We start from the raw sequence: 25,787 nt of genomic DNA on the forward strand, positions 1-25,787 counted from the left end.
AAGCACAATATGGCAGATTAGAAACTGCTGGCTATCTCTCAGTATGCATTCTCCCCTTCTTGCTTGAGACACTCAAATAATACCTGCACTGCTCAGAATAAACTGTATGTTTCCTGATCTCCTTTACACCTGGATGTGATCCTGTGAGCATCTTTTGGTCAGTGGAATGTGAGCAGAGTGATGTGCATAACCTGCAGATTTTGTCCTTGAACCTCCCACTACTCCTTTTCCCTGGTCTTACCAGTCAGAATGCAATCAGCAGGTAGGGTGGCAAGCCATCTTCAGCCACGCGAACTAGGGCATCACTCTAGATATGGCCCCCAATAAGACATCAGGAGCCTGGGTAACAGATATTGCAGAGACACTATATCAGCTCTAGAATGTATATGCTCAGGCTGTGGAATGAGAGATGCATTTGTATCTCATTTAAGTCACTAATATTTTTGGATTTCTTTGTTACAGCAATGTCACCTGTATTTTAATTAATAAAAATATCAATTCAACAAGGATTTATGCCAACTACAATGCTTACACCCTGCTCAGAGCTATGTGATAATAATCATAACTGCAAAATTATGTAGTTTTTTTAAGTTATTTTATTTATTTTTTAAGAGATGAGGGTCTCACTCTGTTGCCCAGGCTGGAGTGCAGTGGCGTAATCACAGTTCACTGCAGCCTCAAACTCCTGGGCTCAAGCAATTCTTTTGCTTCAGCCTCCTGGGTGCCTAGGACTACAGATACCACCATGCCTGGCTAATTAAAAAAAATTTTTTTTTTGTAGAGACAGGGTCTTGCTGTGTTGCTTAGGTTGGTCTCAAACTGACCTCAAGCGATCCTCCCGCCTTGGTCTCCCAAAGTTCTAGGATTACAGGGGTGAGCCACTACACCTGGCCTATGTAGTTGTTTATTACGTAGGGTACTGAGTACTGCAGAACTCTCAGCACAACTTGGTTCCAAATCCCTGCACTAACAGACTTGACCAAACTCTAGCATGGCTTCTAGCAGTATAAGGCTATGTCAGCCTTCTCCCCCAAACCCCCCATTAAAATGCCTGCTTAAGAAAGCTCAAAGCTCCCAGGAAAATTTACTATTTGTTGTTGCCAGTACCTGATGATAGGCCCCTGACCTCCTTTTCTTAGAGCATTTACTAAAAGGGCTTAGAATTGTAAATATGTATTACTTACAACTCAGAAGTCCTTCTCAAGGACTTAGAGAGCCATTCCTTTGAAATGTAATCATCAGGAAGGATAGGGCCTCTGACTCCCAGTCTCTGTGGGAGGATAGAATCCTAACTTAGATAACTGCCAGCTAGCAGACACGACTGGCCTAATGGTATTTACACTGACCAACCCTTTGTAATTTTCACTTCCCTGGCTCTAATGAGCGCCCCCCCCCCCCCAACTCCTCCCTGCTTCCTCATTCTTCTTTCCAAATGCCCAAATTACCTCTGCACAATTGGAATGGAGCTCAGCTCTTTCCCCTACTGTCAATAGTTGCTGAATAAAATCTGTTTTCATCGCTTTGACTGATGGTCAACGGCTATGTTTATTTTTGACAGTACCTATGTTCTGCCAGGCACTATGCTAAGTGTTTTGCAGAGATTAGTTTATTTAATTTTCACTGCAGCACCCATTAGATAAGCACTCTACTATTATTATCCTCATTTTGCAAAGAAACTGACGCTCAGAAATCCTAGTGTTACTTATCCAAGGTCACTCAGGGTAGTAAGTAGCCAAGATAAGATTTGAGTGTGTTTCTGACTACAGCACTATTTATACTATTCTACCTCTCAGGGCAAGACCCATGCCCTGGAAGAGCTCATGGCAGAGGTAGAGACAGATTGAGTTGCTGAGCATGCTACTGCTTTTCAAGACATATGAATAAAAGTTGTGACAAAACAGGAAAAAAAGCTCCAGGAAGATGGAAGCCAACAATAAACTCTTCCTGGGAAAAGCTGCAAATAAGGCATGTGAAAGAATGCATCAGACAGAGTGTACATACATCTTGTGCAAAGGCTTGGGGTATCAAAGGAAGAATAAGACACTCAGTGACAAGAGTATGGCGGCGGGGAGGGTGGCCGAGGCGGGCAGATCACTTGAGGTCAGGAATTTGAGACCAGCCTGGCCAACATGGTGAAACCTCACCTCCACAAGAAAATACACAATTTAGCTGGGGTGGTGGGGGCGGAGGTTGCAGTGAGTCAAGATTGCACCACAGCACTCCAGCCTGGGCGACAGAGTGAGACTCTTATCTCAAAAAAAAAAAAAAAAAAAAAAAAAAAAGTATAGGGTATGCGGGAAATAATGAAATCAGATTTTTTTAACAAAAAATCATAGTTGCTAACATTTATATTATATGCTACCAACTATTCTAAGTACTTTATATACATAAACTCAACTAATCCTCATAATGACCCTATGAGGTAGTAGCATTATCTTTAACTTCATTTTACAGATGAGGAAAGTGAGACACAGAAGAGTGAAGTAACTTTGCCCAAGGTGACCCAACTGGCAAGTTGTAGAACCTACCCAGCCTAGCTTCAAAGTCCTATAGTAAGTAGTTTGTGCCCAATCAGGATAAGAAACTACACAGTAGGTCAAGCAAGGGAAGTTAAATGTAAAGAACTATTAATTATGTTAGCTGCGCACGGTGGTGCGTGCCTGCAGTCTCAGCTACTCAGGAGGCTGAGGCTGGAGGATCACTTGAGCCCAGGAGTTTGAGGCTGTAGTGAGCTATGATTGCACCACTGCACTCCAGCCTGGGTGACAGAGGGAGACCCTGTCCCCCACCAAAAAATTATTATTAACTATGATAAAGGCATAACGATAACACATAAGGAAACTCTATTCAGTACCTTACCGTATAGAAGGTAGGGTTAGGGAGGACCCTGGTTTTTGTGTCAAGAGGCTGAAGAAAGGTTATTGCCAGGCTAAACCTGCAAGGTTAGGAAGGGACCATGTTCTGAGTCTGGGGCTGGGGCAGACTCCACAAGGATGTTCTCACCACTACACCTGTCCCACTCACTTTAAATGGAGCATTTAGACCATTTACATTCAATGTTAGGATTGACTTGTGAGGTACCATTCCATTCATCGTGCTTTGTTGCCTGTGTACCTTGTTTTTTTTTGTTGTTTTTTAAATTGTATTTTTGTTGTATAGGTCCTGTGTGATTTATGCTTTAACGAGGTTCTGTTTTGATGTGTTTCCAGGATTTGTTTCAAGATTTAGAACTCCTTTTAGCAGTTCCTGTAGTGGTGGCTTGGTAGTGGCAAATTCTCTCACCATTTGTCTGAAAAAGACTGTATCTTTCCTTAATATATGATGCTTAGTTTCGCTGGATACAAAATTATTGGCTGATAATTGTTTTGTTTGAGGAGGCTAAAGATAGGGCCCCAATCCCTTCTAGCTTATAGGGTTTCCCACTCACTTTAAAGGAGAAATGTTTACCAGAGTTGTTATATAGCATAGAGGCTATGTGGAAGTTTGTATTAGGAGCTGAGAGGCAATAAAATTGGTAATTGACACAGGAACTGTGCTCCAAGTCTTTAGGATTTATCAGCTTTGAGACTGAAGAGATTGGAGAATCCAACTGTGGATGGCTAAAATCAATGTAAACATCTCAGTTTTTATAATGGGAAGTACCCTGATTAGCTAGCTATGCTCATTGCAAATATAAACAATTCAGAAGACTGTAAAGTGTAAAGACCTTGAAACTGAAAGTCCCTGATATTAATATCATTCATTCACCAGAGATAAACACTATTTTTTTTTTTTGAGACGGAGTCTCACCCTGTTGCCCAGGCTGGAGTGCAATGGCACCATCTCGGCTCACTGCAACCTCCGCCTCCCGGGTTCAGGCGATTCTCTTGCCTCAGCCTCCCGAGTATCTGGGATTACAGGCGCGCGCCTCCACGCCCAACTAATTTTTGTATTTTTAGTAGAGACGGAGTTTCACCATGTTGGCCAGGCTCGTCTCGAACCCCTGACCTCGTGATCCACCCGCCTCGGTCTCCCAAAGTGCTGGGATTACAGGCGTGAGCCACCGCACCCGGCCCTAAACACTATTTTAACAATATGGTGTCTTTTCTTCCAGACTGCCAGTAATTGAACAAAATATATGATTAACACAAAAAGGATACCATATGGACTCTTTAAACTTTTTTTTTTCAAATTTACTGTATCAGGGAATTAATATATCTTTTCGAGCCAATAGCTACAGGCCTTCCAATTTAAAAGATTAAGTTACAATAGAGTGAGATTTGGGGTGCTATCCCTTTCGGAAAGCGTCCTCGATGCGGTCATATTGGAATTAACCTCCACTCCCCTCTTCTCTGGGCTCCCGCAGACTCCAGGCTGAGTGCAGAAGCGTGGATTTTCACACCCAAACCTCTGTTATTTCAGTGTCTCACCTGGCTTCTCCACAGCGCAGAAGCTCAGCCCCTGGTTGGAAGAGCCTCCCCGCGGAGATTCACAGCAAAGCGCCATTCAGGGCCCAACTCCAAGCCCAAACCTAGCTCCTCCCCAAGCCGCCGCCAGAGACCCCTCTTCTCCCAAAGCTCACCGGGGCCCCGCCCCTGACTCCGCCCACCAGAGCCCGGTCCTCCAGTCCCGCCCCATCCCGGGCCCCACCCACCAGCCGGGCTCCGCCTACCCGGAAGCGCGCTGTCCTCCTCGTCCCGGGCTCCGCCCACCGGGAGTTCGCGCCACTCACCCCACCCCGGACCCGCCCACTTCGCTTGGGCTCCACCCTCCCAGGAACTGGCGCCGCTTGCCCCGAGCTCCGCCTACTTCGTCCCGGGCTTCCCGCGCCGGGAACTCGTGCTGCTAGTCCCGCCCTGGCCCCGCCCACCGCGCTACTGGCCCCACCACCCGGAAACTGCCCCGGCCCTCTCCCCCCGGGCTCCGCCCACCCCACGCCGGGAACCCACGCGGGCCACTACAAGCCCGCCCTTTCCTACGTCTGGTCCAGTCGGTCTTCCTCCGGCCCGGGCCCTGGCCCAGCTAGCCGGCCATGGAAGGTAATGGCCCCGCTGCTGTCCACTACCAGCCGGCCAGCCCCCCGCGGGACGCCTGCGTCTACAGCAGCTGCTACTGGTGAGGGGGCGCGGGCGCAGCCTCTGGGTCTCCCAGGCTCCCGGGCGGCGAGTCGCAACCGGGCCCCGCCTCTTCCCGGCCCCTCCTCGGGGGCGCTCCCGGCCTCTACCGGCGGGTTCTACAGTTTTGCGGGAGGAGGGAGCGGGAATGGCAGCTCTCGTCTCTTGAGTAGAGCGTGGGCTATTGGATGGGGTTGGGAATTCGTCCGGAATCATAGGGTCGATAGTGCATTACCTGTGCCTGGCGCTTGTCGGTTGGATTTGCTCAGCAGATCTCTGCTTCGGGGCCAGGAAGGGTGGAGCTCTGAAAATCTTTGGGGGTTACTCTGCTGAAGCCTGTGGGGTTTCAGACTGAGGTGAAGGTCATTTTAATTTTGTAAGAGAATGAAGGCACGGAGAGTTTTTCATACAGCACTTGCTATATGCCACGCGTTGTTCTGGGTGGTTTAGGTAAACTAAATCACTGAGCATCACAATAACCGTAAGAGGTAGGTATTGTTATCCCCAGTTGAAAGATGAGAGCACTGAAGCACAGAGGGCTGCAAGTAATTTGCGCAGGGCCACGTAGCTTGTGAATGAAGGAGTGGGGATTTACAGTCAGGGTCTGGCCCCGGAATCCACGCAGTGCACCCCTGTCCTAGGCCACCTCTGCAGCTGAAGTACCGCCCTTGCCTTAGTCCTCATACCTACTCTTTCCTGAGTAATGGCTTCTTCCCCAGCTTCTAGTCCTTGTACAGGAAACCTCAGTGCTATCTAAACCTACTCCTCCCCCTTCTGCTGGTCACTAAACCAATGCCACCAAGAGCTTAACATTTGTTCGGCCCTGATTGCATGTCAGGCTCAGTGGCAGGTGCTTCCATCGATGTCCAGGAGGTACCTTCTTTTATTATCGTTATCCTCATTTTACTAATAAAAAGACTGAGCCACAGAGAGGCTGTTCTGTGCCCCCAAATCACACATCTAGCAAGTGGTGGTGCTGAAACTGGAACCTCTTCGTGATTCTGAAGTTCATGCATCTTAACTACTGCACTATTTTTCTGTCCTGCCTCTCTTCTAAATCCCGTTAGTTCTCCTCCCTAATGTCCAGTCATTGTTTTATTCATTCATTCAATAAATGTTTATTAGGCACTTGGAGTATGTGGCATACTTCTGGGCACTGGGGATATAGCAGTGAACAAAATCGACAAATTCCCTCATGGATCCCTTGGTTCTTTCATTTTGAGAGAAAAGCAGATAAGGCCCGGTGCGATGGCTCACGCCTGTAATTCCAGCACTTTGGGAGGCCGAGGTGGGCGGATCTCTTGAGGCCAGGAGTCTGAGACCAGCCTGGCCGACATGCAGAAACCCTGCCTCTACTAAAAATACAAAAATTAGCCAGGTGTGGTGGCGTGCACCTGTAATCCCAGCTACTCGGGAAGCTGAGGCAGGAAAATCGCTTGAACCTGGGAGGTGGAGGTTCCAGTGAGCTGATGCCACTGCCCCTTCCTGCCTGGGCAACAGAGCAAGACTCCATCTCAAAAAAAAAAAAAAAATAAAAAGCCAAAAAAACAAGTAAACCATGTTTGGGTGATGTTAAATACTATGAGAAAAATAAGATAAAGGATGGTGACTTATCTTCTATTAGGATATTTTGAGAAGACATTGTTGATAAGGTGATATTTGAAAAGAGATCTGAAAAAAGAGGGTGGGAGCTTTGCAACTATTGGAGGATGGTTGTTTAAGCAGGGAGAACAGCAGGTACAAAGGCTCTGAGAAGGAATGGTGCTGTGAGTGTGATAGGAACAGTGAGGAGGCTGGTACAACTGGAGTATTGGAGTTAGAGCAGTCTTGTAGAAGAATGGTAAGAGATGACCACTCTACCACAGAGTTTCTCCATCTTGGCTTGAGTGACATTTTGAGCATGATAATTCCTTGCTATGGAGGCTGTCCTGTGTATTGCAGGACGTGTAGCAGCATCCCTGGCTTCTACCCACTAGATACTGTTAGCACCCTAGCCCTAGTTATGACAACCAAAAATGTCTCCAGACATTGCTAAGTGTCCTGTAGGGGTTGGGGGGCAAAATCGCCTCTTGCTGAGAACCAGTGCTCTACCCTGTCTGAACACATCAGGTGGGGACACCACACTACTTTGGCTCCTGCAGCTTTGGGGGTTTTTTTTTTTTTTTTTTTTTTTTTTTTTTTTTTTGAGACAGAGTCTCAGTCTGTTGCCCAGGCTGGAGTGCAATGATGCCATCTTGGCTCACTGCAGCCTCCACCTCCCAGGCTCAAGCCATTCTTCTGCCTCAGCCTCCTGAGTAGCTGGGACTACAGGCACCCACCACCATGCCCAGCTAATTTTCGTATTTTTAGTAGAGACGGGGTTTCACCACATTGGCTGGGCTGGTCTTGAACTCCTGACCTCAGGTGATCCACCTGCCTCAGCCTCCCAAAATTCTGGGATTACAGGTGTGAGTCACCGTGCCCGGCCATCCTGCAGGTTTTTTAAGTTGAAATGAATGCCTCCTGTCTACTTCTGTTAGCTTCCGTCATGTTAGCTTCCAGATGTTACTTACGCTTCAAGACCCTGCTTAATGATAATAGTGGCAGCCAGTATTTGTTTGGGACTGTGTCGTCAGCAGAGCATTTCTGATTCTGACTTAATTGTTTTGTGTTTTTCAAACAATTGTGGAGTGCCTGCTTTGTGCCAGGGGTCCTCCCCATCTGCATGCATCTCTGACCTCAGCTCATCACTGGGAACCCCTGGAGTGTCCCAACCTTTCTGCTGCCAAGATGATCAGCTGACAGCTTGGGGCAAATCCACAGCCCTCCCTCCCTCCCTCCCTCCCTTCCTTCCTTCCTTTCTTCCCTCCCTCCCTCCCTCCTTCCTTCATTCCTTTCTTCCCTCCCTCCCTCTCTCCCTTTTTTGAGTCCCTTATGCTTTTGTTTAGAGTTTAAAGAACATTTCAGATATTATCCAATCACATATTTTGTTTGAGTTTTTTTCCCTTCCAACTTTTATTTTAGATTTGGGGTTACATGTGCAGGTTTGTTACATGGGTAAAGTGTATGTGTTGGGGGTTTGGTGTACAAATTATTTTGTCACCCAGATAGTGAGCATACTACCAGATAGATAGTTTTGATCCTCACCCTCCTGTCACCCTCTACCCTCAAGTAGGCCCCATGTCTACTGTTTCCTTTTTTGTGTCCATGTGTACTCAAGGTTTAGCTCCCACTTATACGCAAGAATATTCAGTGTTTGCTTTTCTGTCCCTGTGTTAATTCACTTGGGATATTGGCCTCCAGCTCCATCCATGTTGCTGCAAATGACATGATTTTTGTTCTTTGTCATTGCTGTGTAGTATTCCATGGTGGATGATATATACCACATTTTCTTGATCCAGTTCACCATTGATAGGTGCCTAGGTTGATTCTACATCTTTGCTATCATGAATAGTGCTGTGATGAACATATATGTGCATGTGTCTTAATAGTAGGATTTATATTCCTTTGGGTATATACACAGTAATGGGATTGCTAGGTCGCATCATAGTTCTGTTTCAAGTTCTTTGAAAAATCTCCAAACTGCTTTCCACAGTGGCTTAACTAATTTACATTCCCACCAGGAGTGTATAAGCATCCCCTTTTCTCCACCAACTTGCCAGCGTCTGTTATTTTTTGCCTTTTTTTTTTTTTTTTTTTGAGACAGGGTCTCACTCTGTCACCTAGGCTTACAGTGCAGTGGCATGATCATGACTCACTGCAACCTCAACTTCCTGGGCTTAAGTGATCCTCTCACCTCAGCTTCCTAAGTAGCTGGGAGTACAGGTGGGCATCACCACTTTTTTGACTTCTTAAATTATTTTTATTTGTTTATTTTTATTTATTTATTTATTTATTTAAGACGGATTCTTACTCTGTCACCAGGCTGGAGTGCAGTGGTGCAATCTAGGCTCGCTGCAACCTCCGCCTCCTGGGTTCAAGCGGTTCTGCTTCAGCCTCCTAAGTAGCTGGGACTACAGGCATGCACCACCATGCCCAGCTAATTTGTGTATTTTTAGTAGAGACGGGGTTTCACCATGTTGGCCAAGATTATCTTGATCTCTTGACCTCTTGGTCTGCCTGCCTCGGCCTCCCAAAGTGCTGGGATTATAGGCATGAGCTGCCGTACCCGGCCTATTTATTCATTTTTTTGAGACAGAATCTCACTCTGTCACCCAGGCTGGAGTGCAGTGGTGCAATCATGGCTCACTGCAGCCTCGACCTGGTGTCAATCAATTCTCCCACTTCAGTCTCCCGAGTAACTGGGGCTACAGGTGTGCACCACCATGCCCAGCTAATTTTTATATTTTTTGTAGTGTGGGGTTGTGCCATGTTGCCCAGGCTGGTCTTGAACTTTTGGGCTCAAGCAGTCTTCCTGCCTTGGCCTCCCGAACTGTTGGGATTACAGATGTGAGCTACTGCACCTGGCCTGACTTTAAGAATAGTCATTCTGACTGGAGTGAGATGGTATCTCATTGTGGTTTTGATTTGCGTTTCTCTAATGATTAGTGTTGTTGAGCATTTCTTCATATGCTTATTGGCCATGTGCATGTCTCTTTTTCCTTTTTTTTTTTTTTGAGATGGAGTCTTACTCTGTTGCCCAGGGTGGAGTGCAGTGGCTCGATCTCGGCTCACTGCAACCTCTGCCTCCCAGGTTCAAGTGATGCTCCCAGCTGAGCCTCCAGAGTAGCTGGGATTACAGGTGTGCACCACCATGCCCAGCTAAGTTTTGTATTTTTCTTTTCTTTTTTTTTTTTGAGACGGAGTCTTGCTCTGTTGCTCAGGCTGGAGTGCAGTGGCGTGATCTTGGCTCACTGCAAGCTCCGTCTCCTGGGTTCACACCATTCTCCTGCCTCAGCCTCCCGAGTAGCTGGGGCTGCAGGTGTCCACCACCACACCCGGCTAATTTTTTGTATTTTTTTTTAGTAGAGACAGGGTTTCACCGTGGTCTGGATCTCCTGACCTCGTGATCCGCCTGCCTCGGCCTCCCAAAGTGCTGGGATTACAGGCGTGAGCCACCGCGCCCAGCCTAAGTTTTGTATTTTTAATAGAGACAATGTTTCACCATGTTGGCCAGGCTGGTCTTGAACTCCTGACCTCAAGTGATCCACGCGCCTTGGCCTCCCAAAGTGCTGAGATTATAGATGTGAGCCACTGTGCCTATCTGCTTTTGAGAAGAAGTATCTGTTCATGTCCTTGGCCTATTTTTTAATGGGGTTGTTTTTTGCTTGTTTATTTAAGTTCCTTATAGATTCTGGATATTAGACTTTATCAGATGCATAGTTTGCAAATATTTTCTTGCATTCTGTAGGTAGTCTGTTTTTTGTTTTGGGTTTTTTTTTTTGAGACAGGGTCTCACTCTGTCACCCAGGCTGGAGTGCAGTGGCACAATTATAGCTCATTGCAGACTTGACCTCCCAGGCTCAAGTAATCCTCTCACGTCAGCCTCCCAAGCAACTGAAATTAGAGATGTGTGCCAGCATGCCTGGTTAATTTTTTTTACTTTTTGTGGAGACAGGGTCTCTCTATGTTGCCCAGGCTCATCTTGAACTCTTGGGCTCAAGTGATCTTCCTGCCTGGGTTTCCCAAAGTGCTGGGATTACAAGCACGAGCCTCACCATGCCTGGCTGTAGGTTGTCTATTTACTCCATTGATAGTTTTTTTTTTTTTTTTTGCTGTGCAGAGCTCTTTAGTTTAATTAGGTCTCACTTGTCAATTTTTGTTTTTGTTGCCGTTGCTTTTGGAGTCTTCATCATGAAATCTTTGCCAGGGCCTATGTCTGGAGTGGTATTTCCTAGGTTTTCTTCTAGGGTTTTATAGTTTTAGGTATTACATTTAAGTCTTTAATCCATCTTGAGTTGATTTTTGTATATGGTGAAAGGGAGGGGTCAAGTTTCAATCTTCTGCATATGGTTAGCCAGCTATCCCAGCATCATTTATTAAATAGGGAATCCTTTCCCCATTGCTTGTTATTGGACTTTGTTGAAGATCAGATGGTTGTAAATGTAAATATGCGGCTTTATTTCTGGGTTCTCTAACCTGTTCCATTGGTCCGTGTGTCTGTTTTTGTACCAGTACCATGCTGTTTTGGTTACTATAGCCTTCTAGTATAATTTGAAGTTGGGTAGTGTGACGCCTACAGCTTTGTTCTTTTTGCTTAGGATTGTTTTGGCTGTTTGGGCTCTTTTTTGGTGCATATGAGTTTTAGAATAGTTTCTTCTAATTCTTCCACAACTCGCTTGCTCTTCCTTCCTTTCCCTCCCTCCCTTCCTTCCTTCCCTCTCTCCCTCCTTCCCTCCCTCCTTCCCTCCTTTCTTTCTGTCTCTCTCTTTCCTTCCTTCTCTTCTTTTGTTTTCTCTTCTCTTCTTTTTTCTTTCTTTGTCTTTCTTTTCCTTCCTTTCCCTCCTTTCCTTCCTTTCCCTCCTTTTCCTCCCTTTCCCTCCTTTTCCTTCCTTTCCCTCCTTTTCCTTCTCTTCTGTTTCTCTTTTTCTTTCTTTCTTTCTTTTTCTTTCCGGAGGGTCTTGCTACATTGCCTAGGCTGGTTTCAAACTCCTGAGCTCAAGTTATCCTCCCACCTCAGCCGAGGCATTGGGATTACAGTTGTGAGCTACTGCACCCCACCTACAGGTATTTTTGTTTCAGCTGTGACTCCTTGTATTTCCGAGTATAAGATCATCTCCCCCTTTTTTTTAACATTGAAACTTTCATGGGATTCTCCTACATGATATTCGTTATGCTCTTGAAAAACAATTGCTGACTAAAAGGGACTAAAAAGTCAGTGACTTTTACGAAGTTTACATTTTTTTCTGTGTAACATTTACATATATTTCAAAAATAACAGTGTATGTTCAAGCCACATTATGTATTCAGCTTACCAGTGGTGCTTGTGGTATCTGTGGATTCATGAACTCTTTGTAGTTTTTATTATTATTATTATTATTTTTAATTTTTAGATGGAGTCTTGCTCTGTCACCCAGGCTGGAGGAGCAGTCGTGCAATCTTGGCTTATTACAACCTCTGCCTCTCGGGTTCAAGTGAGTCTTGTGCCTCAGCCTCCTGAGTAACTGGGATTATAGGTGCATGCTCCTACGCCCGGCTGATTTTGTGTTTTTATTTTTATGCGTTTTTTTTTTTTTTTTTTGAGATGAAGTCTCACTCTGTCACCCAGGCTGGAGTGCAGTGGTGCGATCTTGGCTCACTGCAACCTGTGCCTCCCGGGCTCAAGTGATTCTCATGCCTCAGCCTCCCAAGTAGCTGGGATTACAGGTTTGTGCCACCACGCCTAGCTAATTTTTGTATTTTTTTTTTTTTAAGACGAAGTCTTGCACTGTTGCCTGGGCTGGAGTGCAGTAGCACGATCTCAGCTTGCTGCAACCGCCGCCTCCCAGGTTCAAGCAATTCTCCTGCCTCAGCCTCCTGAGTAGCTGGGATTACAGGTGCCTGCCACCACACCCATCTAATTTTTTGTATTTTTAGTAGAGACGGGGTTTCACTATGTTGGCCAGGCTGGTCTTGAACGCCTGACCTCATGATCCACCCGCTTCGGCCTCCCAGAGTGCTGGGATTACAGGCGTGAGCTGCTGCGCCTGGCCATTAATTTTTGTATTTTTAATAGGGTTTCGTCATGTTGGCCAGGCTGGTCTTGAACTCCCAACCTCAGGTGATCCAAGGTCTTAAACTTCTGACCTCAGGTGATCCGCCTGCCTTGGCCTCCCAAAGTGCCTGGATTACAGGCATGAACCACCTCGCCTGGCCCCTTTGTATTAACTCTAAGCCCACCCTTAGAGGGGAATGAACAAAGAGAAACTACAACCTATACCTCTTCCCATATCCCTCCGAATTAATGACACCCTCTTCCTTTCTGCATGCATCTTTTATGGCCTTCTATGATGCTTGCCAGTTATGGATTTGTATGTCTCTGCTCATGGTCTGTAAGCTCTAATTTATCATCATATCCTCCAAGCACTTAGCACAGTATTTTGTACATTATAAGCTCTTGAAGGTATTTGCGGTAAACTCCCGAAAAACTTGTATAAGCCAGAGAGATAATTGTCTTCTTCAAACCTGGCCTTAGAACATTTAGATTAAGGAAATTTTATTGTGACGTAATATGACATATACCATATGTCATGTTGAAACAGTCAATAAAATTTTTTTTTTTAGAGGTTGTCTCTCTCTGTCGCCCAGGCTGGAGTGCAGTGACACAATCTTGGCTCACTGCAACCTCCGCCTCCTGGTTTCAAGCGATTCTCCTGCCTCAGCCTCCCGAGTAGCTGGGATTACAGGCATCAGCCACCACGCCCAGCTAATTTTTGTATTTTTAGTAGAGACAGAGTTTCACCATATTGGCCAGACTGGTCTCAAACTCCTGACCTCAGGTGATCCACGTGCCTCAGCCTCCCAAAGTGCTGGGATTACAGACGTAAGCCACCATGCCCGGCCCAGTCAGTAAATTTTTATTACTCTATAGTACATATCATATGAAGTAGTCAGTAGCAGTAGCAATCTTCCCACCCCCCCACTTTTTTTTTTTTTTAACCACAACCATCACTTTTCCCTTGTAGTTTCCTAGTTATTTTAGAGAAAAGGAAAACCATGGGAGAAAAACATGTCCAACTTCCGTATTTTAAGCCTAGTTTTATAGAGCATTTGAGACAGGCAAGGCAAAGATTGATGAACTGAAAGAGTGTCTACTTCTGTAAGATGGTGACCATCCTCAGGGCTGTTCATGCCTTGCTTCATTTTTAGGTAGCATGGCGTGGATGAAATTAGGCTTTGGGCCGGGCGTGGTGGCTCACACCTGTAATCCCAGTATTTTGGGAGGCCGAGGCAGGTGGATCACCTGAGGTCAGGAGTTCAAGACCAGCCATGGCCAACATGTGATGGCCAACATGTGAAACCCCATCTCTACTACAAATACAAAAATTAGCCAGAAGTGGTGGCATGCATCTGTAGTCCCAGCTACTTGGGAGGCTGAGGCAGGAGAATCGCTTGAATCCAGGAGGTGGAGGTTGTAGTGAGCTGAGATTGTGTCACTGCACTCCAGCCTGGGTGACAGAGCGAGACTCCGTCCCCGCTCCCCCCTGCAAAAAAGAAACTAGGCTTTGACAGACTGAGCCACATTCTGTGAACAGAGTGTTAGTGTACCTCATTTTGAGCAAAGGTGCGTGTATCTTACTAGAAAAAGATAGGAACCCAACAGCTGAGCTGTGAGTACTGCCCGAAGTGACTGGTTTCCTGTGCATGGAGGTGCAGCTCAGTTACTGCTCTGTTTGATGTACTACTGGGCATCACTTTACTTAGGTGGGTTCTGACTACTGCTTCAGATAGCCAAAGACCTGTCACGTAGAAGAGAGATTCATCTGGGGCAAAGGTATGGGAAGATTGATTTCAGTTCAGTATGAGAAAGAACTTTCTAAAAATCAGGCCTCTTGAGAAGGCCAGGCACAGTGGCTCATACCTGTAATCCCAGTACTTAGGAAGATTGAGGTGGGAAGATTGCTTGAGCTCAGCAGTTCAAGACCAGCCTGAGCAACATGGCAAGACCTTGTCTCCACACACACAAAAATAATTTTTAAAATTAGTTGGGTGTGGTGATGTGCATCTGTGGTCCCAGCTACTCAGGAGGCTGAGGCTGGGAGTTTGAGGCTGCAGTGAGCTGTGGTTGAGCCACTGCACTTCATTCAGCCTGGGCTATGGAGTGAGACCCTGTCTCTAAAAATAAGCATAGGCTGGGCACGGTGGCTCACTCTGTAATCCCAGCACTTTGGGAGGCTGAGGTAGGTGGATCACTTGAGATCAAGAGTTTGAGACCAGCCTGGCCAACATGGTGAAACACCATCTCTACTAAAAATACAAAAGTTAGCTGGGTGTGGTGCTGCACGCCTGTAATCCCAGCTACTCAGGAGGCTGAGGCATGACAATCACTTGAACCTGAGAAGTGGAGGTTGCAGTGAGCCGAGATCACACCACTGCACTCCATCCTGGGCAGTGAAGTAAGACTCTGTCTCCAAAAATAAATAAATAAAAAAAATAAAATTATGTCCCTTTCTTACTAGAGGGGCATGGGGAATCCCACTCACAGGGATTCCCCCAAATGAGTTCCCGGACATATCACATAATTGCTCCTGATTCTTTCCAGCCAGGAGGCTTTCAACCCAAAACACCCATCCTGCCCCATTTCTAAAGAGAGCAGGGAACCAGTGTTAACTAAGATTTTTGTGTGTTTACAGTATATGATTATGCCCATTTTACACATGAGAAAAGCAGATTCTTGGAGAAGTCAAGATGGTCAAAGCTTTTTTTTTTTTTTTTTTTTTTGAGTTGGAGTCTTGCTCTGTTGTCCAGGCTAGAGTGCAGTGGTGTGATCTTTGGCTCACTGCAACTTCTGTCTCTCAGGTTCGAGCAATTCTCCTGCCTCAGCCTCCCAAGTAGCCGGGATTACAGGCACCCGCCACCATGCCTGGCTAATTTTAGTATTTTTAGTAGAGACGGGGTTTCACCATATTGGTCAGGCTGGTCTCTCTGCCAGGCTGGTCTCGAACTCCTGACCTCGTGATCCGCCCGCCTCGGCCTCCCAAAGTGCTGGGATTACTGGCCTGAGCCACCACGCCTGGCCTTTGTCAAAGGTTCTTACCTTGTAAGTGGCTGAGTTAGAATTTCAGCTGTATTACAAGTTGCTGGGCCCAAAACTCATAGAATATTGACATATTTTATCAGTTATAAAATGCCTCCATGTACAAGCACTGCTAGGGGAGGTAATTAGCTCTGTGTGGAGAGGGGTTTACACACAGTATAGGTTGAATACCAGCTTGTTGGGATGTTTTAGAGGAGATTCAGACATTAGCCAGTTGTTGGATGACATGGGGTTTAAGGTCTTTTCCAACTTTTTGATGTCATCATCAGTATTTTGTTCAAATTTAAAAGACACATAGAATGTTCTCTAATCTTGATTAAACAATTATTTTATTTCAGTGAAGAAAATATTTGGAAGCTCTGTGAATACATCAAAAACCATGACCAGTATCCTTTAGAAGAATGTTATGCTGTCTTCATATCTAATGAGAGGAAGATGGTAAGTTGGTGAGTGATTGCAGAAAGAAAACAAGAGATTTAGGATGACATTAGAAGCTAAATTAAAAAAAAAAAAGCTAAATATAGCATGGGTGTAGTACTCTTCTGAAGTGTGCTTTATTAAATACAGCAACATTTAAAAGCTTGCTTTTGAATGAGATTTTTTTCCTTACAAGGCACGATTGAGTTAGAAGAGTTGAGTCCCTTCTGTCGCCCAGGCTGGAGTGCAGTGGCGTGATTCTTGGCTCACTGCAACCTCCACCTCCCGGGTTCAAGCGATTCTCCTGCCTCAGCCTCCCAAGTAGCTGAGACTACAGGCATGTGCCACCACGCCCAGCTAATTTTTGTATTTTTTAGTAGAGATGGGGTTTTGCTATGTTGGCCAGGCTGGTCTCGAACTCCTGGCCTCAAGTGATCCTCCCACCTCAGCCCCCCAAAGTGCTGGGAGTACAGGTGTGAGCCACCATGCCCAGCTTAGTCCCTTACTTTAGGTAAGGAAATATGTGATGGTCTACGCAGATAAAGTCCCTTTTCTTTAGGTATCAATGTAGACCTGTTTTTTTTTGTTTGTTTGTTTGTTTTTTCTTTTATTTTTTGGTACGGAGTCTCACTCTGTTGCCCAGGCTATAGCACAATGGTGTGATCTCGGCTCACTGCAACCTCTGCCTCCCAGGTTCAAGTGATTTTTGTGTCTCAGGCTCCCAAGTAGCTGGGACTACAGGTGTCCCACCACGATGGCCGGCTAATTTTTGTATTTTCAGTAGAGACAGGCTTTCTCCATGTTGGCCAGTCTGGTCTCGAACTCCTAACCTCAGGTGACCTGTCTGCCTTGGCCTCCCAATGTGGTGGGATTACCAGCATGAGCCACTGTGCCTGGCCATTTTTTTTTCTTTTTTTAAATTCAAGATGGAAGATGTAGACTTTTTAAAAATTGCTTAGAGACGCATACTCTCAGTTTTAAAGTAAGGATTTGTCTCTGGAGTTTAAATAGAACTACAGTCAACTTACATGAAGAATTAGAAAAAGTAAGCCCTTCATATTTTGTAAAACACATTTGCAGGCATCATCTCATTTGATCCCAATGGAAGCCCTGTGAAGCAGGCAATATTTGGACAAGTTTCTTCATTTTATAGATGAAGAGATTAAGACTTAGGGTGGCCCTATGAATAATTAAATGGGAGAGCAAGATTTGATACCTGCCAGGACTTCTGATTCCTAGTTCAGATCCCTTTTCACTCTCCAAAGACCATCATACAATAACTAGTGCTCTTGAGAGCTTTCATTGTTGGGGATACTTAGAAGGATTTCGATTTCTTCCTCTTCATTCATTCCTTCACCTTGATTTTTGCATGCTTAAAAATATTTTATTTCTCATGTATGTATTGCTTTAAATAGTAGTAGCCAGGTACAGTGACACGTGCCTGTAGTCCCAGCTACTTGTGAGGCGGCTGAGGCGGGCAGATCTCTTGAAGCCAAGAGTTCAAGGCTGCAGTATACTATGATGGCACCTGTGAGTAGCCACTGCACTCCAGCCAGGGCAGCATCACAAGATCCTGTCTTGGCCAGGTGCGGTGGCTCACGCCTATAATCCCAGCACTTTGGGAGGCTGAGGTGGGCAGATCACTTGAGATCAGGAGTTCGAGACCAGCCTGGCCAACATGATGAAACCTTGTGTCAAAACCCTTCATCAAAAAATAAAAATAAAAAATTAGCTGGGTGTGGTGGCACACGCCTGTAATCCCAGCTACTTGGGAAACTGAGGCAGGAGAATTGCTTGAACCCGGGAGGTGGAGGTTGCAGTAAGCCCAGATTGTGCCACTGCACTCCAGCCTGGGTGACAGAGCAGGACTCTGTCTCAAAAAAAAAAAAAAAAAATCCCGTCTCAAAAAAAAAAAAAGGAAAATAATTTAGTAGTGGTTTAACTAAAGGTATGGCTTACGAAATGTATTGTATTTTGTAGATACCTATCTGGAAACAACAGGCGAGACCTGGAGATGGACCTGTGATCTGGGTAAGACAGTTAATACAGAGAGTATTGACGCATTATGACTTGTAACCCCTTAGTGTTCTGTATGTTTTGGTAAAGCAGAAGTGACCTAAGCAGTAGAGAAAGGCTATGGTAATTATTAATAAATTGACCTTTTGAGAATAGATGTTATTTGATCTAAGGTAGAAACACTGTAGGCATATTTTCTTTTAACTTTTTGTTTTGAAATTATTATAGGAATGATTTTAAATGGTGGATATATTTGTGATCTAGACTCTTACCATTTAGCACAGGAAGGAACTTTGGCTACACATTAGAATTATCTGGAGACTGTTAAAAATGTAGTTTTCGGCTGGGCGCGGTGGCTCACACCTGTAATCCCAGCAGTTTGGGAGGCCAAGGTGGACGGATCACTTGAGGCCAGGAGTTCAAGACCAGCTTGGCCAACATGGCGAAACACCATCTCTAATAATAATACAAATATTAGGCCGGGCGCAGTGGCTCATGCCTGTAATTCCAGCACTTTGAGAGGCTGAGGTAGGTGGATCACTTGAGGCCAGGAGTTTGAGGCCAGTCTGGCCAACATGGCAAAACTCCGTCTCTACTAAAAAAAATACAAAGATTAACTGAGCCTGGTGGCACTCACCTGTAGTCCCAGCTACTCGGGAGGTTGAGGCAGGAGAATTGCTTGAACCCGGGAGGTGGAGGCTGCAGCGAGCTGAGATTGCTTCACTGTACTCCAGCTTGGGTGACAGAGAGAGACCCTGTCTCAATAAATAAATAATGTAGTTTTCTGATTTAGTAAATCTAGAGAGGGGTTCAGGAGTTAGTGTTCTTGATGAACTCCTAGGTGAACATGACTGGCATTTGAAAAATACGGATCTACTCCCACCCCTTTATTTTTCAGGGAAGAAATAAACACAGAAGAGCAAACTGAGTAGCTCAGAGTGGCATGGTCAGTGGCAGAACTGGGTCTCACACCTGGGTCCTTTTTAGTACACATCTACATGTCACCTTAACCCATTCCCCTAAAGAATGGAGGCTAGGGTTGGGCACGGTGGCTCATGCCTATAATCCCAGAACTTTGGGAGGCCGAGGTGGGTGGATCACCTGAGGTCAGGAGTTCAAGACCAGCCTGGTCAACATGGTAAAACCCCGTCTCTACTAAAGTACAAAAATTAGCTGGGTGTGATGGCGTGTGCCTGTAATCCCAGCTACTCGGGAGGCTGAGGCAGGAGAATTGCTTGAACCTGGGAGGCAGAGGTTGCAGTGAGCTGAGGTGACGCCATTGCATTCCAGCCTGGGCAAAAAGAATGAAACTCCATATCAAAAAAAAAAAAAAAAAAAATAGAGTTTTTATGCTAATAAACACGAAAGCAAAGTAAAAGGAAAATGACACTGATGAATTGGAACAAACTCCTAGTTTCTGGGTATTTATTTAAAATTATGTATCATTTGATTGGCTTCGCTCATTTATTTAACATGTATATATTGAGTGTGTTTTATATGCCAGGCTAAAAACAGATTAAAATCCCTGACCTCACAGAGCTGACGTTCTCAGTTTCGTTGCCAGCAGGTGATCTTGCATGAAAGCTGCTCTTGCATGAAAGCCCAAGCCCCTCAGCTCTAGGGTTAGGAGCACAGGCTCTGGAGTTAGGCATACTGGGTTTAAGTCCCAGGCCTCTCATTGGTCAGCTGTGGGATCCAGATAGGTTATTTACCCTCTGTCTTCAGTGTCTCCCCCTGGTCAGTGGGGTCGTGAGGCTTAAATGAGGTAATGCACAGGAAGCATCTTCCTGGTGTCTGCTACTGGTACTCAGGAAGTGTTGGCAGTTACTGTTAGCAGTGATACCTAACCCCTGTTATAGATGGTCCGTGTGCACGAGAAATCATCCCTGTTGCTGAACAGCTTAGCTGATTTTGAGTCGTGGTCTTACTCCCCATCCTAGGGAAACTTGGAGGGGAAGGACCTGTAGCCATGTCTCCCTTACACATCTCATGGCAGCTCAAGATGGGGAATCCTGTTGCAAGAAGTCTCCCCACACCCTCTGGCAGGTTTTGCTTTGCCTCGCTGCTGTCCTGTTGTAGGGCATGGGTAGGCCTCGCTGAGTGAGCAGAGACACCAGTGAGTAGTAGTGAGTAAAATTCGAGAACACTAAATCCTGAACCCCTTTCTAGATTTACTAAATCAGAAAACTACATTGTTAACGCAGTCTCTGGATAATTCTAATGTGTAGCCAGACTACATATTGCCAAAGTCCCTTCCCATGCTAAATGGATAAAAGTCTATGACATCACAAATATATCTGCCACATTAGCCATTTAAAATCATTCCTATAATAATTTCAGGTTGGGCGTGGTGGCTCACACCTGTAATCCCAGCACTTTGGGATGCAGAGGCAGGCAGATCCCATGAGGTCAGGAGTTCGAGACCAGCCTCATCAACATGGTGAAACCCTGTCTCTATTAAAAATACAAAAATTAGCGTGGTGGTGGGCGCTTGTAGTCCCAGCTACTTGGGTGCCTGAGGCAGGAGAATTGCTTGAACCTGGGAGGCAGAGGTCACAGTGAGCCGAGATCATACCACTGTACTCCATCCTGGGCGATACAATGAGACTTCATCTCAAAAAAAAAAATCATTCCTATAATAATTTCTTTTTTTAAATTTTATTTATGTATTTTTTTTTTGAGATGGAGTCTCACTCTGTCGCCTAGGCTGGAGTGCAGTGGTGTGATCTCGGCTCACTGCAAACTCTGACCCCCAAGGTTTAAGCAATTCCTCTGCCTCAGCCTCCCGAGTAGCTGGAATTACAGGCATGTGGCACACGCCTGGCTAATTTTTTTATTTTTAGTAGAGATGGGATTTTGCCATGTTGGCCAGGCTGATCTCGAACTCCTGACCTCAAGTGATCCGCCCGCCTCGGCCTCCCAAATTGCTGGGAGTACAGGCGTGAGCCACTGTGCCTGTCCTCCTGTAATAATTTCAAAACAAAAAGTTAAAAGAAAACATGCCTATAGTCCTTCTATCTTAGACCAAATAACATGGAGCAGATGGTGGCATCTGTAGGTGACATCCCCACTCCTAGCACAATCAGTCTTTTCCTGGCAGCTGGGCAGACACTGAACCAACTCAGAGAGTGAGGCCGCTGCTCAAGCCTGCATTCCTTGGCTCCTCATCTGTGCCATGAAGGCAATTTTGGGCCAACCCTTTTCCTTTGCAGTCCCTCAGCTGCCTAGTGTATAGGAATGTGGACCTGAACTTACTAGAGAGTTGTGAATAGTCATTATGTATGCCTTTTCACAAGTTGTACCTTCTTTCTGGAAAGCTGTCCCCATCAGGCAAGATTCTGCAATGGGGTCCTTTCCTCTGTGAAACTCTCTTTGGCCATTGGGCTCCTGTCCTCTTCCTTTCTTGGTTGGCTTTAATTTTTTATTTTTATTTATTTATTTGTTTTTGAGACAGATTCTTGCTCTGTTGCCCAGGCTGGAGTGCAGTGGCATGATCTTAGCTCAGTGCAACCTCTGTCTCCTGGGTTCAAGTGATTCTCGTGCCTCAGCCTCCTGAGTAGCTGGGGCTACAGGTGCATGCCACCATGCCCGGCTCGTTGTTGTATTTTTAGTAGAGACGGGGTCTCACTATGTTGACCAGGCTGGTCTTGAACTCCTGACCTCATGTGATCCACCTGCCTCGGCCTCCCAAAGTGCTGGGATTACAGGCATGAGCTACCATGCCCAGCCTTTGGTTGTCTTTTAAAAGGGTTGATCATTTACACACTAATGCTTCTAGCAGCACTATGAGGTAGACCAAGCTTGTCTAACCTGCAGCCTATGGGCTGCATGTGGCCCAAGACAGCTTTAAATGCAGCCCAACACAAATTTGTAAACTTTCTTAAAACATTATGAAATTTTTTTGTGATTTTTTTTTTTTTTAGCTTATCAGCAATCGTTAGTGTTAGTGTATTTTATGTGTGGCCCAAGACAATTCTTCTTCCAGTGTGGCCCAGGGAAGCCAAAAGATTGGACACCCTGGAGTTAGATACTCCAGTTATCTCCATTTTATAAAAGAGCAGAGTGAGGTTGCCGAGGGGAGGGGCTGAGATTGGAACCAGGCGCTTACCTGCTCCTGCCTGCATTGCTCTCCTGCCTGCATTGCTCTCCTGCCTCTGATGTTCTCTGTTCTCCACAATATCCTGCAGCAGTTTACCTGGTTCCCATTCACTTCTCTGGGAACTTCTTGAGGGTGAGAACTTATCTTTTTCATCTTTGCATCTGCAGTTCAGCAGCACAGTCTTTCACATAGAATAGATAATGTGTGGTTCAAAAAAACTGATATGGGACTGGGCACAGTGGCTCACACCCATAATCCCAGCACTTTGGGAGGCAGAGGCAGGGAGATCACTTGAGGCCAGGAGTTCGAGACCAGCCTGGTCAACATGGTGAAACCCCATCTCTACTAAAAATACAAAAATTAGCTGGGTGTGGTGGCGCGCCTGTAATCCCAGCTACTCGGGAGGCTGAGGTGGGAAAATCACTCGAACCCCGGAGGTGGAGGTTGCAGTGAGCTGGGATTGTGCCACTGTGCTCCAGCCTGGGTGACAGAGAGAGACTCTGTCTCAAAACAACAACAACAACAAACCTGTAATATGAATTAGAAGATGTTAAGAGAGAAACAGAATTTGGATAAGGCGGAGATTCTGGCAGGGGGTGGGAGAAGATAAAAAATTGATTCGTGGGAAGAAAGCCTTTAGCTGGAGCTTGTGTGGTAGAAAGAGGTAGAGAAGGTTGCTGCAGATGGAGGGGAATGACATGAGCAGACCCATTGGGAGGCAGTGGTGGACTGTTTGGGGGCGTGGAGGATAGGATGTATCTGGGGAAGTCCAGAGAATAGGCATTCATTTTTGAATCTTTCTGTTTTGCTAAGACAGACTTAGAGCCAAAGGCAGCACTCAGGCTTTTAAAGGCACAGCATCCCTAGTCTTAAGTATTGTTCTTACCTCAGGATTTATACAGGGCTCAAGTAGAATGATATTTGAGAAAGAAAGTGCCTTTTAAACTCTAAGATATTGTAGAAATATAAGTTGGTATTACTAATGTTGCTAGGTTGCTTTGATTTCACAGTGCTGTTCTCTATGAGAGCGTTTTTCTTTGGAAGAACTCAGAGCACCACATTGCTCATGTCCCTTGATCACCTCCCTGAAATCCCTTTCAGCTCATCGCTGGTGTTGGGCAGTACCTTGAGTCTGAGAGTGAGGGTGAGAATTAACATCCACACTGTGACAGAGCTGTGTGGGAAAAGCTGTCTTTTTCTTTCTCCCTTAGTGGCTACAGATGAAAGCTTGGCTAACTTCTTTTTTTAAAAAATAGTTTTTCCTTTCTTTTAATTGCAAAAGTGGTTCCAAACTAGAAATTAAAGTCCTCCTTCTCCTCTCCAGGCTGACCCCCAGAAGCCTCCTTTGTTACTAGTTTGGAGCAGATCCTTGCAGACGTTTTCCTCTGCATTCACATGCATGCAAATGTACTTCTGAATGCGCACGTATGTCTTTATATACAGATAGCTTTTAACAAATAGCAGGTGGGGCCGGCACTGTGGCTCACACCTGTAATTCCAGGACTTTGGGAGGCTGAGGCGGGGGGATCACTTGAGGCCAGAAGTTGGAGACCAGCCTGGCCAACATGGTGAAACACCATCTCTACTAAAAATACAAAAATTAGCTGGGCGTGGTGGCGGGTGTCTGTAGTCCCAGCTACTCAGGAGGCTGAGGCAGGAGAATCGCTTGAACCCAGGAGGCGGAGGTTGCAGTGAGCTGAGATTATGCCACTGCACGCCAGCCTGGGTGATAGAGCAAGACTCTGTCTCAATTAAAAAAAATATGTGGGGCCAGGCACCGTGGCTCACACCTGTAATCCTAGCACTTTTGGAGACTGAGGCGGGTGGATCGCCTGAGGTCAGGGGTTCAAGACCAGCCTTGCCAGCATGATGAAACCCTATCTCTACTAAAAATACAAAAAATTAGCTGGGCATCGTGGTGCGCGCTTGTAATCCCAGCTACTCGGGAGGCTGAGGCAAGAGAATTGCTTGAACCCGGCAGGTGGAGGTTGCAGTGAGCTGAGATCATGCCACTGCACTCCAACCTGGGTGACGAGAGTAAGACTCCATCTCAAAAAAAAAAAAAAAAAAAAAGTTTCCTAGAGGTAAAATTGCAGTTTCAGAGGATGTGCATTTAATGACTATGAACATTTCCATTATTTAACCATTTCCCTATCTGTGGACATTTAGTCTGTTTTCATGTTTTCAGGGTGTTGTGTTTGCTTTATTCTATTTTGCTATTATAAGGAGGGCTGTAGCAGTCCTATATCCTTTTTAGTGATAAGGTATGTGTCTGAATACTGGGATTTCATCATTATGAAGTAACTTGGTTAACTTCAGCAACTTTTACTTTTAGGATTACCATGTTGTTTTGCTTCATGTTTCAAGTGGAGGACAGAACTTCATTTATGATCTCGATACTGTCTTGCCATTTCCCTGCCTCTTTGACACTTATGTAGAAGATGCCTTTAAGTCTGATGATGACATTCACCCACAGTTTAGGAGGTGAGGACATTCAAGATGGATTTACTTATTTTCTGAAGTAAGAATTTGACGATTCCACAGAGGTTCTTTTTTTTTTTGACAATTGTTTTGTAAAGATCTCGTCTGACATCACCATTGAGTTGATGTTTAAGAATGATGTATTTGCAACACAGGAGATTCAAAATGTTTTAAAGCTTTAAAAGTTATCTATCATATGAAAGGTTGTCATTCTTTTAAAATTTTGTGTGATGAGATCTCAGACATTTAATTTCAAGCGGGTTGGGGATTTTTCTTATATTCTTTTTGTTTTTGTGGGGATACCTCGTGCTGTCACCATTGAGAGGGCTGTGAGGGCAGCATCAGAAAATCATGCCCATTGCCCTTGATACACAAATCGAGTAAATCGAGGCAACCAGATATATTTTTGTGCCTTTGCCTTTCTGTTTCGGGGTTTGGTTGATCATTTCCTATGCTTCTCTAATAGGTAGTAAAGTTGCCTGTATTACTAACCATACAGAAATGCATGAGTAGTTTTGTGCATGTCATAGGAAATGAGTCGATATAAAAATGGAGTTAGAATTTCAAACATGACATCTCCCTAATGTGAGTGTATATTGATTTTTCTGCAGGAAATTTAGAGTGATCCGTGCAGATTCATATTTGAAGAACTTTGCTTCTGACCGATCTCACATGAAAGACTCCAGTGGGAATTGGAGAGAGCCTCCGCCGCCATATCCCTGCATTGAGACTGGAGGTGAGCCAAGATGCCTTCTCAGATGGGGGTTCTGATTGATCACATACACATCAGCATTTTTCCTTAACGGAGGACAAAAGTCAGGTTGTTCTTTGAATAAAACTCCATGAGTGAATCCCAGCACTTTGGGAGGCCGAGGTGGGCGGATCACGAGGTCAGGAGATAGACACCATCCTGGCTAACACGGTGAAACCCTGTCTCTACTAAAAATACAAAAAATTAGCCAGGTGTGGTGACAGGCACCTGTAGTCCCAGCTACTAGGGAGGCTGAGGCAGGAGAATGGTGCGAAC

At 45.4% G+C, this 25,787-nt stretch overlaps 2 protein-coding genes across 18 annotated transcripts in view, besides 6 other annotated features; one reads left to right on the forward strand and one right to left on the reverse strand.

The window, feature by feature from the left end:
• Window positions 1-4,512, reverse strand: part of ATAD2 (ATPase family AAA domain containing 2) — a 96,501-nt gene extending 91,989 nt beyond the window's left edge. The window contains exons 1-2 of one of the 2 annotated variants that reach the window (XM_047421722.1): window positions 4,410-4,512; window positions 242-339 (exon numbers count right to left, since the gene is read on the reverse strand). The gene's annotated coding sequence lies outside the window, so the exon portion shown is untranslated. The remainder of the gene's footprint in view (window positions 1-241; window positions 340-4,409) is intronic. The other variant, XM_047421723.1, reaches the window with a different exon arrangement.
• Window positions 2,397-2,597: a silencer, noted in NCBI's record as "peak7156 fragment used in MPRA reporter construct". NCBI's record gives its function as "represses an SCP1 promoter by STARR-seq MPRAs in K562 erythroleukemia cells {active_cell/tissue: K562}" and the evidence as "EXISTENCE:reporter gene assay evidence [ECO:0000049][PMID:32103011]".
• Window positions 4,515-4,994: a silencer, noted in NCBI's record as "silent region_19499". NCBI's record gives its function as "represses an Ori minimal core promoter by ATAC-STARR-seq in GM12878 lymphoblastoid cells {active_cell/tissue: GM12878}" and the evidence as "EXISTENCE:reporter gene assay evidence [ECO:0000049][PMID:35858748]".
• NTAQ1 (N-terminal glutamine amidase 1) overlaps window positions 4,887-25,787 on the forward strand; it is a 58,972-nt gene continuing 38,071 nt past the window's right edge. For 8 of the 16 annotated variants that reach the window (XR_007060738.1, XR_007060736.1, XR_928337.4 and 5 more), the window contains exons 1-5: window positions 4,936-5,094; window positions 16,086-16,185; window positions 18,145-18,195; window positions 24,615-24,763; window positions 25,372-25,496. Coding sequence is in view for 5 of the 16 variants with exons in the window: in NM_018024.3 (NP_060494.1) it covers window positions 5,012-5,094; window positions 16,086-16,185; window positions 18,145-18,195; window positions 24,615-24,763; window positions 25,372-25,496 (508 nt within the window). In the remaining 11 variants the exon portion in view is untranslated. Of the gene's footprint in view, window positions 5,095-16,085; window positions 16,186-18,144; window positions 18,196-23,603; window positions 23,705-24,614; window positions 24,764-25,371; window positions 25,497-25,787 lie in introns of all 16 variants that reach the window. The other 8 variants (XR_007060742.1, XR_002956636.2, XR_002956635.2 and 5 more) reach the window with 3 other exon arrangements.
• Window positions 5,105-5,304: a silencer, noted in NCBI's record as "silent region_19500". NCBI's record gives its function as "represses an Ori minimal core promoter by ATAC-STARR-seq in GM12878 lymphoblastoid cells {active_cell/tissue: GM12878}" and the evidence as "EXISTENCE:reporter gene assay evidence [ECO:0000049][PMID:35858748]".
• Window positions 5,105-5,702: a biological region, named in NCBI's record as "H3K27ac hESC enhancer GRCh37_chr8:124429186-124429780".
• Window positions 5,108-5,702: an enhancer, noted in NCBI's record as "H3K27ac hESC enhancer chr8:124429186-124429780 (GRCh37/hg19 assembly coordinates)". NCBI's record gives its function as "activates a minimal SCP1, AML or CMV promoter by ChIP-STARR-seq in primed H9 embryonic stem cells {active_cell/tissue: H9 hESC(primed)}" and the evidence as "EXISTENCE:reporter gene assay evidence [ECO:0000049][PMID:30033119]".
• Window positions 5,625-5,674: a silencer, noted in NCBI's record as "silent region_19501". NCBI's record gives its function as "represses an Ori minimal core promoter by ATAC-STARR-seq in GM12878 lymphoblastoid cells {active_cell/tissue: GM12878}" and the evidence as "EXISTENCE:reporter gene assay evidence [ECO:0000049][PMID:35858748]".

This window comes from Homo sapiens, chromosome 8 (genome assembly GCF_000001405.40).
Source record: "Homo sapiens chromosome 8, GRCh38.p14 Primary Assembly".
Lineage (NCBI taxonomy): Eukaryota > Metazoa > Chordata > Mammalia > Primates > Hominidae > Homo > Homo sapiens.